Source organism: Homo sapiens, chromosome 16 (assembly GCF_000001405.40).
Source record: "Homo sapiens chromosome 16, GRCh38.p14 Primary Assembly".
Classification (NCBI taxonomy): domain Eukaryota; kingdom Metazoa; phylum Chordata; class Mammalia; order Primates; family Hominidae; genus Homo; species Homo sapiens.
In genome coordinates, this window is record NC_000016.10 from 2,328,347 (window position 1) to 2,341,574 (window position 13,228).

Consider the following 13,228-nt stretch of genomic DNA (forward strand, 5'->3'; position numbering starts at 1 on the left):
TAGCAAGACCCTATCTCTATACAAATAAAGTAAGAAAAAGGAACACAGACACTGAACCCAGAGTTAAGTTCATCTCATGAACTTCAAGAGTTCATGAGCTGCTAACCTGCTAGAGAAGTAGGTGGTCTGAGTAAGTTCAAGTAGGCGCTGCAACCCGCAGGAAATAGGAGAAACGTGCTCTGAAAACTGAGTGTAAAGAGGGCGAGGTGTGCAGACGTGGCTGCTCTGTCCTGGAGAGGCAGGGAAGGCGATGGAGGAGGGGCAGTCTAGAGAGCCCCTGGTGCTGGTCCACTCGCTACAACTGCAGGCAGAGAGGAGTCCTTCCCGCTCAGCGTCCTTCATGTGCGGAAAAGCCTCCTTGACTCACAGTGGAAGAGTTTCAGGTTCAGTTGCTCAGCTCCACACTCATGGCTGATCCAAACCCAACATCATCCATCAGCCAGGTTAAGATGCACGGGATAGAAAGGCAAACAATTAGCGAGTCATTCCTAGATCACCATGAGCTAGCGCTCCCCGACAATGACCCGGGAGACTCCAGCGCACGGGGAAGGGTTTTTTTTTTTTTTTAAATGACCCATTTTACTTTTGGTTTGGTTTCAGTCCATTGAAAATCATTTATATCAAGGCTCTTTTTAAATTAAAACTCTTGCTTTTTTTTTTTTTTAAGATGTGGCTGTTGATATCTAATAATATTCAAAATTTATGCTTTAAAGGGTAGTCAATAAATATTTACATGAAATACAACTGCAAACAGTTAAAAATTAATTTAAAATATGACTTTTAATGAATCATATTGTTAAAAAGTGAAGAAATTAAAGCTAAAATAGTATGAAGTGCTATTAAGGGGCAACTTAATAAATTATCCCAATTCTTTTAAAATTAATAAGGTAGAAGACCTGTCTCAAAGTCAGTTGCTGATGATGAATAAAACAGCAGTGACTTAAAGATACACATTAAGGCCTGTGGTTTATAAAAGGTTTCTAGAAGTGGTTTAGGCAAAAAGAAGAGGCCGGTGCCTCCATTTGGGGCCATCATCCCGGGGAAGTACACTCCAGATGGGCGTGGGGTTGGCTGAGATGAACGTTCTGCCTCTACCAAGTGAGGAATATAAAACCGTCACAGTTCAAAGAAGTCTTCTGGTTAGAGGAACAGACAACCTCCCTTACTGGAAGTCTGGCCAAGAAAGGAAAGATCCCCATGCTTAATCTTGTCCTCTCCAGTCCCAGGGCTGGGAGAGAAGGTCAGAAAGATAGACCACCCCCCTTCCCACACAGGCTGCAGGGCAGTACCAGGGAACTCACCTGGGTCCCAGAAGAGGCTCCACACAGCAGGTCTCCCTTCAGGACTACTGGGGAACTGGCCAGGAGGAGGCGGCTCCGCACAGAGGGCTCCGGGGTGGGGCCTGAGAGCCTCTGGAGTGGGGCAGGGCAACCCTGAGGTTTGGGAACACCGTGACCTCGCAGGACATCAGGAGGTGCCCAGGGCTCACAGGCATGACTCTCCAGCACCTTTGGACAGATGGAAGGTGTTTGAGTGTAATTTGGAAAATAATTATAAAACACCTCTTACCAAGTTAGAAAACAGAAGAGCAAAATAGATTTTGAGGATGTTACTTAAAACTGAGCAGATCTGATAAAAAATTTTGGATTTAGAAAATAAACACCTGGCCGGGCACGGTGGCTCATGCCTGAACAATTCCAGCACTTTGGAAGACTGAGCTGGGCGGATCACCTGAGGTCAGGAGTTTAAGACCAACCCAGCCAACATGGCAAAACCCTGTCTCTACTAAAAACACAAAAATTAGCCAGGTGTGGTGACGTGTGCCTGTCCCAGCTACTCGGGAGGCTGAGGTGGGAGGATTGCTTGAACCCAGGAGGTGGAGGTTGCAGTGAACCGAGATGGTGCTAACTCAGAGTCATCAGCTCCGAGATGACCCTGTCTCAAAAAAAAAAAAAAAAAGAATATAAGCTCTATTTTTTTTTTTTTTTTTGAGACAGAGTTTCACTCTTGTGGCCCAGGCTGGAGTGCCGTGGTGCCATCTCAGCTCACTGCAACCTCCACCTCCCAGGTTCAAGCGATTCTCCTACCTCAGCCTCCCAAATAGCTGGGATTACAAGCACCCACCACCACATCCAGCTAACTTTTGTATTTTTAGTAGAGATGGGGTTTCACCACTTTGGCCAGGCTGGTCTCAAACTCCTGACCTCAAGTGATCCGCCGACCTTGGCCTCTCACAGTGTTGGGATGACAGGTGTGAGCCACTGTACCCAGCTGAAACTCTGCTTTCCTGCTTGTAAGCACTCTGCTTCTACAACCTCCTCATCCTCTCCTGGCTTCTGGCAACACCACCCTTTTTTTTTTTTTTTTTTTGAGACGGAGTCTTACTCTGTCTCCCAGGTTGGAGTGCAGTGCCGCGATCTCTGTTCACTGCAAACTCCGCCTCCCAGGTTCACGCCATTCTCCTGCCTCAGCCTCCCGAGTAGCTGGGACTACAGGCACCCACCACAGCGCCCGGCTAATTTTTTTTGTATTTTTCAGTAGACACAGGGTTTCCCTGTGCTAGCCAGGATGGTCTCGATCTCCTGACCTGGAACATCACCCTTTTGCAGACGAAGAAACAAGGAGGAAATGCCTGGCCCAAAATCACACAGCAAGAAGCTGCCAAGTCAGGGCTTGAACCTTGGCTTGTTTTAACTTCCAAGTCTGTCTTCTAACTACTACACTACTACAACCTGTGGGTCCTAAAAACACAGAACAACTTCCAACTTCATACAAGTTTTGCATATCACTCCTAGAACATAACATCAGAAACTGAAAGGTAAAAAAGACCCCTAAGCCCCATCACCTTAATAGAAGTTTTCTTTTCTTTTCTTTTCTTTTTTTCTGAGACAGAGTCTCGCTCTGTCGCCGAGGCTGGGCACGATCTCGGCTCACAACAACCTCCACCTCCCAGGTTCAAGTGATCCTCCCATCTCAGCCTCCCAAGTAGCTACAGGCACATGCCACCACGCCCGGCTAATTCTTGTATTTTTAATAGAGACGGAGTTTTGCCATGTTGGCTAGGCTGGTCTCAAACTCCTGACCTCAAGTGATCCGCCCGCCTCGGCCTCCCAAAGTGTGGGGATTACAGGCGTGAGCCACTGTGCCCTGCCGAGGTTTTATCTCTGTGCCCCCACGGCACCCAGCTTGTTGCCTGATACGTGTGAGGCTTTACCTAAAGTCTCACTGAACACTACGCTTGCATCTGTTCTGTTTCAGCAAAAGGAGTTTAAAGGAAGAGATCCTAGAATTACAAAATCTGGCAAGTTTTTTGTTACAAAAGCAAATGTACACAAGAGAAAGAAGTTAATGTTCCTTCTGCACTTGACGCCGAGGCGGCAGAGTCTCCAGAAGTGCTGATGACTGAGGCCCAGGACCGGCCCCGGCTGAGCCCCCATCAGCTACTCTAAGTTAAACACTCAGGACTCCAGCCACTCCTAAAGCTGCCGCCTCTGCCCAGCAAGAGGACAAGAGCAGAGCTTCAAGAACTTCCCTTTGAAGAGGCTCTCTTCACTAGTCCCGGGACACAGTCAGGAAAGGGAAGGCAAACCTTTTCCCCTCTCTATAAAAGGTTTGCTTACTGTTAAAATATTAAACATCACACATATCATTGAGTATCTCAATGTTTGTTTTTTAGGTAAGCAACTGACTCGGTGCAGAGTGAGCGCATACTGCAGGCTGCTCATTTCTCAGAACTCTCTTGATGGCACAAATTCTTCTACAAATGGTCTTTCCAGTAACTGTTGTCAGCTCAAGAGCCATCGGCTGTGCCAGTTAACAAGCGCTGTGGCTCTTCAGGCGGCCAGTGCTCAGCAGCAAATTGGAGAAATCCCAAACTCCTCCATTTCTTTTTTTTTTTTCCTTGAAACTTTAAAATCCTTCAAAATCTGTTTATTATACAGGTGAATTTTGATAGTCACGATGGGCTTATCGGTAGGATTTCTAGTAGCGAGCACAGGCACCAGGGCTTCTAAACTTTTTGGACTCGCAGGGACGGGGATCAGCTACCAGCAGGGTCCGGTCATACAGGATGAGGATGTCTTTGATCTCCTTCTTGGAAGCCTCATCCATATACTTCTGGTAATAGGCCACCAGGGCTTTGGAGATGGACTGACGGGTAGCATAAATCTGGGCCACATGACCACCACCCTCCACACGGACACGAATGTCCACACCAGCAAATCGCTCCTTGCTGAGAAGCAAAACTGGCTCCAGCAGCTTGTACTGTAGCGTGGGCGGCTCAATCTTCTCCAGGGGCCGCCCGTTCACCTTGATGAGACCATTGCCGCGTTTGCAGTGTGCCACAGCTGTGGCTGTCTTCTTGTGTCCAAAGACCCGCACCGATTGCCTCCTCCATTTCTTTATTTGTGGTTTGCAGGTATTTTTGTGTGCACCATAGGCTTGAATTTGCCACCCAATTCCTATGTGCCCTTTTTTTTTTTACACAGTCTTGCTTTGTCACCCAGGTTGGAGTGCCGTTGCGTGAGCAGGGCTCATCGCAGCCTGGTGCTCCTGGGCTCAAGTGATCGTCTTGCCTCAGCCCCCTGAGCAGCTGGGACCACAGGCACATGCCACCATACCTGGCTACTTATTATATTTTTTGCAGAGATGGAGTCTTGCTATGTTGCCCAAGCTGGTCTGAAACTCCTGGCCTGAAACAATCTTCTTCCCATCTTGGCCTCCCAAAGTACTGGGACTATAGGTATGAGCCATGCTGCCTGGCCCTTATGAGCCCTTTCAAAAGAAGTTTTTATATCTGCATATATGGAGCAGAGGTCCCTGGGGGTGGTGGGTCTTGAGACCCATGAACAGAAGGGACAGGCCAGAGTGAGGGGCACAAGACCCATTACGCCATGTGTTCCTGTTGTATTCTGAGCTTGGTTACACCTCCCTCCATGAAAGCCTGTCCACAAAGGCATAGAGAAATCCACTCATGGAAAGAAGGGGGCCTTGATAAAGCCACAGGTGAACCGCCCCAAGATGCACAAAGAGAGCCGCCAACCATGGCTCTGCTCGCTTTGCCACAGGTGTGGTGCTGGTCACATTTGGTGCTTTTCCTTCAGGGGAGGACCCAACATCCCAATATTGACACCAGGAGTCTGCAACAGCCAGCCAGCATCAAAGATCCGCGTGTATGCGCACTGAGGCACGGAGGACAGTCAATTAATGGAGGCCGGTAGAATCCATGGTCTTTTAGGGTATACAAGACAAAAAAGCATTTGTTCATTCAACAATTGCCAAGTTTTTGCTGTCTGATGGGCACTTGTACAAGGTACTAAGGATTTGGAAATGAAAATAACATTCTTTTTTTTTTTTTTTTTGAGACGGAGTCTCACTCTGTTGCCCAGGCTGGACTGCAGTGGTGTGATCTCAGCTCACTGCAACCTCCGCCTCCTGGGTTCAAGCGATTCTGCTGCCTCAGCCTCCTGAGTAGCTGGGATTACAGGCGTGCGCCACCATGCCTTGCCAATTTTTTGTATTTTTAGTAGAGACAGGGTTTCACCATGCTGGCCAGGCTGGTCTCAAACTCTTGACCTTGTGATCCACCCGCCTCAGCCTCCCAAAGTGCATGCTGGGATTACAGGCATGAGCCACCACGCCTGGCCGATGATAACATTCTTAATCCAAGGAGTTCACAGTCCCTGAACACTTGCATGCACTGTAATTGCTGTGACGGATGCTAAATAAAGTATGGCAAGATTCAGGAGAAGACAGGAATTAATTGCGTGTGTGAGACAGCGAGCAAGACAGGGAGATGGCCCGGGAGGGTGATGGGGGGAGGTGACATGGGAAGCCGGTCTTGAATGACTCATTAGTTGGGACAGGAAGGACATTACAGGATCCTGGAGACAGACTGTGTATGGGGAGCAGCGAGTCATTCCGAGTGGCAGTGCAGAGAATGAGCCAGGAAAGGCGCAGACCCTGGGCCCATGTCATCAAGGCGCTGGATGTTGCACCAAGAAGGGAGCTCGGGGTGTGTCCCAATGGGCAGTGATGCTGGGTGAGGGTGACTGGTTTTGTTTAATCCTTTATCTAGGACATTATCTTTTTTGAGAGACGGGTACACAGTAAATATTTGAAAATGTCTAATTCAATGGATCCTGTGGATGAAATGCCCAAACACCAGTAATTTTTTTTTTTTTTTTTGAGACGGCATCTCGCTCTATCACTCAGGCTGGAGTGCAGCCCGATCTTGGCTCAATGCAACCTCCGGCCCCCAGGTTCAAGTAAGTGATTCTCCTGCCTCAGCCTCCCAAGTAGCTGAGGAGTACAGATGCCCGCCACCACACCCAGCTAATTTTTTGTATTTTTAGTAGAGATGGAGTTTTGCTATGTTGGCCAGGCTGGTCTTGAACTCCTGAACTCAGGTGATCCACCTGCCTCAGCCTCCTGAAGTGCTAGGATCACAGGTGTGAGCCACCGTGCCAGACTTAAATATTAGTTCTTTTTTTTTTTTTTTGAGACGGAGTTTCACTCTTGTTGCCCAGGCTGGAGTGCAATGGCGTGATCTTGGCTCATGGCTACATCCACCTCCTGAGTTCAAGCGATTCTCCTGCCTCAGCGACCTGAGTGGCTGGGATTACAGGCACTCGCCACCACGCCCAGCTAATTTTTGTATTTTCAGTAGAGACGGGGTTTCACCATGTTGGCCAGGCTGGTCTCGAACTCCTGACCTCAAGTGATCTGCCTGCCTCTGCCTCCCAAAGTGCTGGGATTACAGGTGTAAGCCACTGTGCCCGGCCCTAAATATTATTAATATATAAAAAAAGCAGGCACATTTATAGAGTATGGTCCTCACCCCTTCCCAGTGGTCTCCAAATGGGGTGGGCTAGACAACCTGCAGCAGTGAAAAAGTGATGAAAAAATCTACTTGTAAGTATTTTTCTTTAAAAATGTGAAAAAAATGGCTTCACTGATTTGTTTGTTTGTTTGTTTGTTTCCTGTAGGGACAGGATCTCAGTCACACACAGTTATCCCGGCTGGAATGCAGTGGTGTGATCCTCCTGCCTCAGCCTCCTAAGTAGCTGGGACTACAGGCATGTACCACCACACCTGGCTTTTTTTTGTAGAGACGAGTCTCACTATGTTGCCCAGGCTGGTCTCAAACTCCTGGGCTCAAATGATCCTCTTGCCTCAGCCTCCCAAAGTGCTGGGACCACTGGCATGCGATACCACACCCTGCCAGCTTTACTGACATTTAATACTTGGACAGACCCTGGTGTTCACGCTGGCTTGTATGTCAGCAGCCGTGGCATCCTGACTGAGGAGGAGGCACCCTGTGATGTGGGGAGTGATGGTGGGCCCTCACCACAAGTCTACTTTAAGCATCCTAGGCGTGTTGGAGTTTACAAGTTTCAGAGCTTTCCAGTTGTGGTCAATTAAAACAAACAAACAAACCACAAAAACTCAAGACCCTTAAATAGCGAAAGCTTTACAATGCTTCGCAGTGATGTGGAAAATGACCATGAGTATCTTTTGTGTGACTTGGAGGTTTACTGGTCATTTCATGGCTTAGTATTTCAAAGAGTCAGAGAATTTAAGGAGAAGGTACAGATTTTCTTTTGTGAAAAGTTCCAAATCCGGAGACATTTTTTCGTTTTTAATGACAAATGACTGCAGCAGTGTGTCATCTACCTTTTTTCTTTTAAATAGACACAACGTAATCTGTCCCTTCAAAGAAAAAGTGACAGTATATGAGAGTTACAGCTTTTCAAAAAGAATCTGTACCAAGAATAGAGCATTTGTGAAAACAGACGTTTGAAGAGGTTTCCACAATTACGTGACTGCGTTCCCAATGATGCTACAAGCGTACTGTCTATATGAACATTTACACCCGCACACCAAAACATCTTCAACACCAGAATCTCCACCTACCCTGATAGCCCCTGAACATACCCAGCCCAAATTCATCAAGGGCCCTCAGATGATGGGTAAATGAAATTGAAAAACAAGTACCCTGCCTCGTAAGCACAGGGTCTGTGCCTTTCTCTGTATCATGTTAATGTGTAAATGCTGTTAATAACTAGGGCCTGAAATATACAGAACTTTTTTTTTTTTTTTTGAGACAGAGTTTCACTCTTGTTGCCCAGGCTGGAGTGCAAAGGTGCAATCTCGGCTCACTGCAACCTCTGCCTCCCAGGTTCAAGTGATTCTCCTGCCTCCGCCTCCTGAGTAGCTGGAATTACAGGTGCCCGCCACCACGCCCAGCTAATTTTTTTTTTTTTTTTTTTTTTTGTAGAGACGGGGTTTCACCATGTTGACCAGGCTGGTCTAGAACTCCTGACCTCAAGCAATCCACCCACCTCGGCCTCCCAAAGTGCTAGGATTACAGGCGTGAGCCACCTCGTCTGGCCAATAAACAGAACTTACAATTGATCTTAAATGCTGGGACTTAGGATTCAATGAGAGTTTATAAATGGGATGTGGACACATGGCTTTCATCTTTAAAAAGCATGTTTATACAATAGTTTTTGTAGCATTCATATGTTGGATAAATTTAATCATGTTTATTTCACCTCTCATCCTTTTTTTTTTTTCTCTGTTAGAGACAGGGTCTTGCTCTGTTTCCCAGGCTGCAGTGCAATGGCATCATTATAGCTCACTGCATTCTTGAATTCCCAGGCTCAAGCGATCCTCCCTCCTCAGCCTCCACAGTAGCTGGGACTTCAGGTGCACGCCACCATACCTGGCTATTTTTTTTTTTTTTTTAGTAGAGACAGGGTCTCACTATGTTGCCCAGACTGTTCTCAAACTCTTGGCCTTAAGGGATTGTCTCATCTCAGCCTCCCAAAGTGCTGGGTATACAGGTGTGAGCCACCATGTCTGTCTGGCCTTCGTCCCTTTAAAAGATCCAAATTTGTATATATTTCTATGTCCATAATACATCAGGACAGTAATTGTAATTTATAACACATAATATATATTGGGCTGCATGTTTACATTCATTCTTTTACACATAACAGTACACATGAAAAAAAAAGTCTGAGGCCTTTTTTTTTTTTTCATGCAGGGTCTCACTCTTTTGCCTAGGCTGGAGTATAGATAGTGGTGTGATCATGGCTCACTGTAGCCTTGACCTCCTGGCTCAAGTGATCCTCCCACCTCAGTCTCCCAAATAGCTGGGACCATGGGTGTGCACCACCATGCCCGGCTAATTGTTTGATTTTTTTTTTTTTTTTTTTAGAGATGGGATCTTGCCATGTTGCCCAGGCTGTTCTTCCAACTTGTGGCCTCAAGTGATCCTCCCGCCTTGGCCTCCCAAAGTGCCAAGATTACAGATGTGAATCACTTGCACTGGCCAAGGCCAATTTATAACCTCAGTGGCCCTTGTGGGGATGAGGTAGGAACAAATGCACAACCCACAGCCATTGGCTGAGAGCTGGGGAGGCTGGTTTGAGGCTGTGGCACTGGCATCGCAGGCCCTGATGGAGCCCTAGCTTGCTGGCGCTCATACTCAGCACCACAGGCGCTGCCTGGAGTTGGAGGCGGCTGCCTCCCTAGGATCACAGGCTCTGCGTTTACAATGAAGCTCTGGCAGGGGTTCATAGGGTGTATTTTTAAGCCAGAGACGTGGTTCCAAAGGGAGCTATCGGGACAGACTTCCACAAAATCTCTGCTACTGCCTGTTTCCCTAACCCTTGCCGTGGCTTCAGTCCCGTTCTCCAGCCAGCTAGCTGTTCTGCCTCCCTAGGTGCAGGAAACGAGGTAATGAGGCAATGGAAAGTCCCCAGAGGGAGGTAACCATGGATGTTCTCCAACAAGCAAGTTAGCAAGGACCTCGTTACACGGCTCCCGCAAAGGCACCTGTCTGCCTGTTGACTCCAAACCTCTCCAACACCACAAACACTCTGAGCCATTCAGGGGAATGGGGTCTGCAAAACTCTCCCAGGACAGGGCCTGACATGCCTCACTCTTCCCCACAAGATGTGGGCCTTCAGTGTTTTGTCTGCCTAGAATATCACCCGGATACCTTTCTCTACCTACCCATCACTTCCCAGCCCACTTCTAGTACCATGGCCTCTGTGAAGCTTGTTTCAGGGGCTCTTTGTCTTGGCTGCCTGCACAATGGAATTTTCCAGGGCACTTTAAGACAGAAACTGACATCTGAGGCCCACCCCTGGAGATTCTGGGCTGTTTTGGGCCCAGGCTGGCTTCCCAGGTGATTGTAACGGGAAGCCTGGGTGGAGACCCTCTGCTCTTCTTGGAGCCAACTCTCCTCCACCTCTGGTCACCTGTTGCACCTTTTCTGGATGTGTCATGTGGTACTCATCTTGTTCTGTCTTATGTCACAGTTACTTGTGAATAAAGCATCTCTTTAGCTCTATCCTAAGACCCCTCCAAGAGCAGGGACTGTGTCCAATTCATCTTTTTTTTTTTTTTTTTTTTTGAGACAGAGTCTTGCTCTGTCGCCCAGGCTGGAGGGCAGTGGTGCCATCTCAGCTCACTGTAACCTCCACCTAATATGTTCAAGCGATTCTTCTGCCTCAGCCTCCTGAGTAGCTGGGATTACAGGCACGTGCCACCATGCCCGGCTAATTTTTTATATTTTTGGTAAAGATGAGGTTTCGCCATGTTGGCCAGGCTGGTCTCGAACTCCTGAACTCAAGTGATCCGCCCGCCTCTGCCTCCCAAAGTGCTGGGATTACAGGTGTGAGCCACTTAGCCCGGCTTCCAATTCATCTTTCCATTGTGCACAAGGCCTTCCCCGTCAGAGCCGTCCCCAAAGTTCCAGAATGCTTCCCCTCAATAGATTCCACAGTCTCCGGAAGCAGGGCTGGGGAAGAAATGGCAAACTAGGGATCTTACCTGGGCCTTCCCAGTTGAGACTACGTCAAAATGGGCTCCCATGAGACTGCCTGGCTCATGCAGATGGAAGGCTAACATCTTTTTAGAAACAACTCGTGCTACCCTCTCCTGTTCCAAAAGCCTGTCTGGTCAGAATGGTGGTAAGTCACTTTAGGAAGGGAGAGACGTCGTCCTGTTTTTCAGGTAGAGTTAGCAAAGGTTCAATTTAAAAGAAAAATTATCTAAGAAGTTAAAAATGAAAGTGTGGGGGAGATTCCCATGACATCCATTTTTATCTATTTTTCCCTTTCTCTTACATTTCTCATGAGGCAAACTTTCTAAAACAGTCTTAGTCTTTTCAAGTTTACAAAAGGCAGCGCCCAGACTATCTGAATAAAATGACGGGATGCCCAGGAGAAGAGTGAACCTCTCCCACGTGCTCCCTGCCTGGGCTCCATGCTGTCGCGGGGTCTCGGCTACTCACTCAGCGGGCATTTCTGGAGTTCCAGGAACACAAACCCCAACAAGATCCAATCGACGCCTTCCCGGAGTGCACAGTCCAGGACGTAACCCGGAGAACAAGCGGCAATTACCCCCTGAGGACATGGCTTCATCTGTGCGACAGACACCAAGCGCCTTCCCCACGCCCCTGACCATAAGGCCGTCCCGGCCCTTCTGAAGCGTGGAGCCGGCTTGGAACAGAGCCAAGACACACGGACGCGATGCACACAGGCGTCCTGACCGAGGGCGCCGAGAACGCGGCCTCCGGCGACTGCCACAAGCCCCTCCGCCTGGACTAGCGGCTCCCCTTTCCCGTTCCCACACAGTGGAGGGCGCAGCAAACGCCCGCCGCGGACCGTGGGCCTTGGATTCGGATTTGGAGGCTCCTCGGAACCAGAGGGTGGGAGCAGGCGGAATCCAACCCGGGCGGCTTTGCCACCGCGCGCCCGGCATCCCTGCGGCCGGAAAGCGGCGCCATCTCCGCAAGTGCGCGGCGGACGCCTGCATCCCTCGGGGCCGGGGCTGTCGGTCGCTACATATCCACCTTCTGGGCGCACACAGAGGGCCCGGGCCGTGCCGAGTCTCCGCAGGGTCGAGCTTCCCCGCGCGGCGCGGGCTCAGGCACTGCCCGCAGTGCGGGACACGCCCAAGGCTCGGATGGGAGCCGACGCTGAGGGAGCGGCACCTGCAGGGAGCGCCCGGAGCCGAGGCCGCGGCAGGAGGGGCGGGCGCGGGCGCGGCCGGAGGGGATGCGGGGTCGCGGGAGGGGCCCGCAGGCCAGGCCGGAGCTGGGGGGGGCCCGAGGCCCGAGCTGGCCGGCGAGGGTGGGAAGGGCGGACCCGGGTGGGGACCGCAAGCCCCGGGAACGAGCGCGCGAGCGGCGGGTCCCGGCGGCACTCACCGAGCCTGGGCGCCGGGGCGGCGGCGGCCGGCGCGCGGCCCTCTCGCGGGGTCCCCTCCCTCGGCCACCCGGGCTCCGCTCCAGCCTCGCAGTGGCGGCGGCACTGACAGCTGCGTGGCCGCCCTGGAGGGGAGGGTGCGCCTGCAACCCGCTACTGGCGGACGCAGCGGCCGCTCCGGCTCCTGCAGGGGGCGCCGCGGATGGCGCGTGCGCAGTCGGCCGCCCCTGCAGGTGCCCGGTCCACCCCCGGCCGCCTCGGCCGCTCCGGCCAGCCCAACCCCGCGCCTGCGCGGTGCCCCCTGCATGTCGCCCATGCCCGGCAGAGGGCGCTCTGACTTGCGCGTGCGCAGTCAGCCACCCTGCGAGTACGCGGTTCGCACCCGGCCGCGCGGCAGCCCGTGCTTGCGCACTGCTCTGTGCCCGCGCCTATGTCCAGCAGGGGGCGCGCAGCGGCGGTAGCCGAGCGAGGGCGCGGTGGCCTCTGACAGGAATGACTCTGCGCACGTGCGTTTCGCAGCAGTGGAAGTCTTCACACCCGGAAACTCGACTTTGGCCGTTTCTCCATTTCTCCTCACGCACTGTCTTTCCTTGGGCCCTCGTCACTCCTGGCACCGGGGGAAGGGCTTCCCCGCCTCTGGCCGGGCGCTGGGGCGCGACCGAAGGCGAGGCGGCGGCGAGGAACCTTCTGGAATTCGGCCGTCGGGGCAGGCGTCGAGTTTACAGGAGAAGGCGCGGTGTCCCGGGATGAGCGGAGTCGCCCTCACTTAAGGAGCGAGGGAGGCCTCGGGGGTCCCCAGCCGGGTAGGAGTCACCTCAGGCAGGAGGGCCCGGCCTTGTCGGGGTCACCTGGCGGGAGGGTCCCGGGGTGGGGCGGGGCCGCCTGTGAGGAGGGTCCAGAGAGGGTCGGGGTCACCTGAGGGGAGGGTGGGGGGGTTCGGGGATGGTTGGGGTCACCCGACGGGATGGTCCGGGGAGGGTCGGGTTCACCTGAGGGGAGGGTCG

At 51.4% G+C, this 13,228-nt stretch overlaps 1 protein-coding gene and 2 pseudogenes across 2 annotated transcripts in view, besides 2 other annotated features; 1 reads left to right on the plus strand and 2 right to left on the minus strand.

The window, feature by feature from the left end:
* The window catches only part of ABCA3 (ATP binding cassette subfamily A member 3), a 64,848-nt gene extending 52,466 nt beyond the window's left edge, over window positions 1-12,382 (minus strand). Inside the window, exons 1-3 of the mRNA NM_001089.3 lie at window positions 12,227-12,382; window positions 1,302-1,508; window positions 107-411 (exon numbers count right to left, since the gene is read on the minus strand). The gene's annotated coding sequence lies outside the window, so the exon portion shown is untranslated. The remainder of the gene's footprint in view (window positions 1-106; window positions 412-1,301; window positions 1,509-12,226) is intronic.
* On the minus strand, window positions 3,901-4,387 carry RPS16P7 (ribosomal protein S16 pseudogene 7; annotated as a pseudogene).
* Window positions 12,003-12,062: a silencer, noted in NCBI's record as "silent region_7041". NCBI's record gives its function as "represses an Ori minimal core promoter by ATAC-STARR-seq in GM12878 lymphoblastoid cells {active_cell/tissue: GM12878}" and the evidence as "EXISTENCE:reporter gene assay evidence [ECO:0000049][PMID:35858748]".
* Window positions 12,233-12,692: a silencer, noted in NCBI's record as "silent region_7042". NCBI's record gives its function as "represses an Ori minimal core promoter by ATAC-STARR-seq in GM12878 lymphoblastoid cells {active_cell/tissue: GM12878}" and the evidence as "EXISTENCE:reporter gene assay evidence [ECO:0000049][PMID:35858748]".
* Window positions 12,576-13,228, plus strand: part of ABCA17P (ATP binding cassette subfamily A member 17, pseudogene) — an 85,778-nt pseudogene continuing 85,125 nt past the window's right edge. The window contains exon 1 of the transcript NR_003574.1: window positions 12,576-13,027. The product of NR_003574.1 is annotated as an ATP binding cassette subfamily A member 17, pseudogene (transcript). The remainder of the gene's footprint in view (window positions 13,028-13,228) is intronic.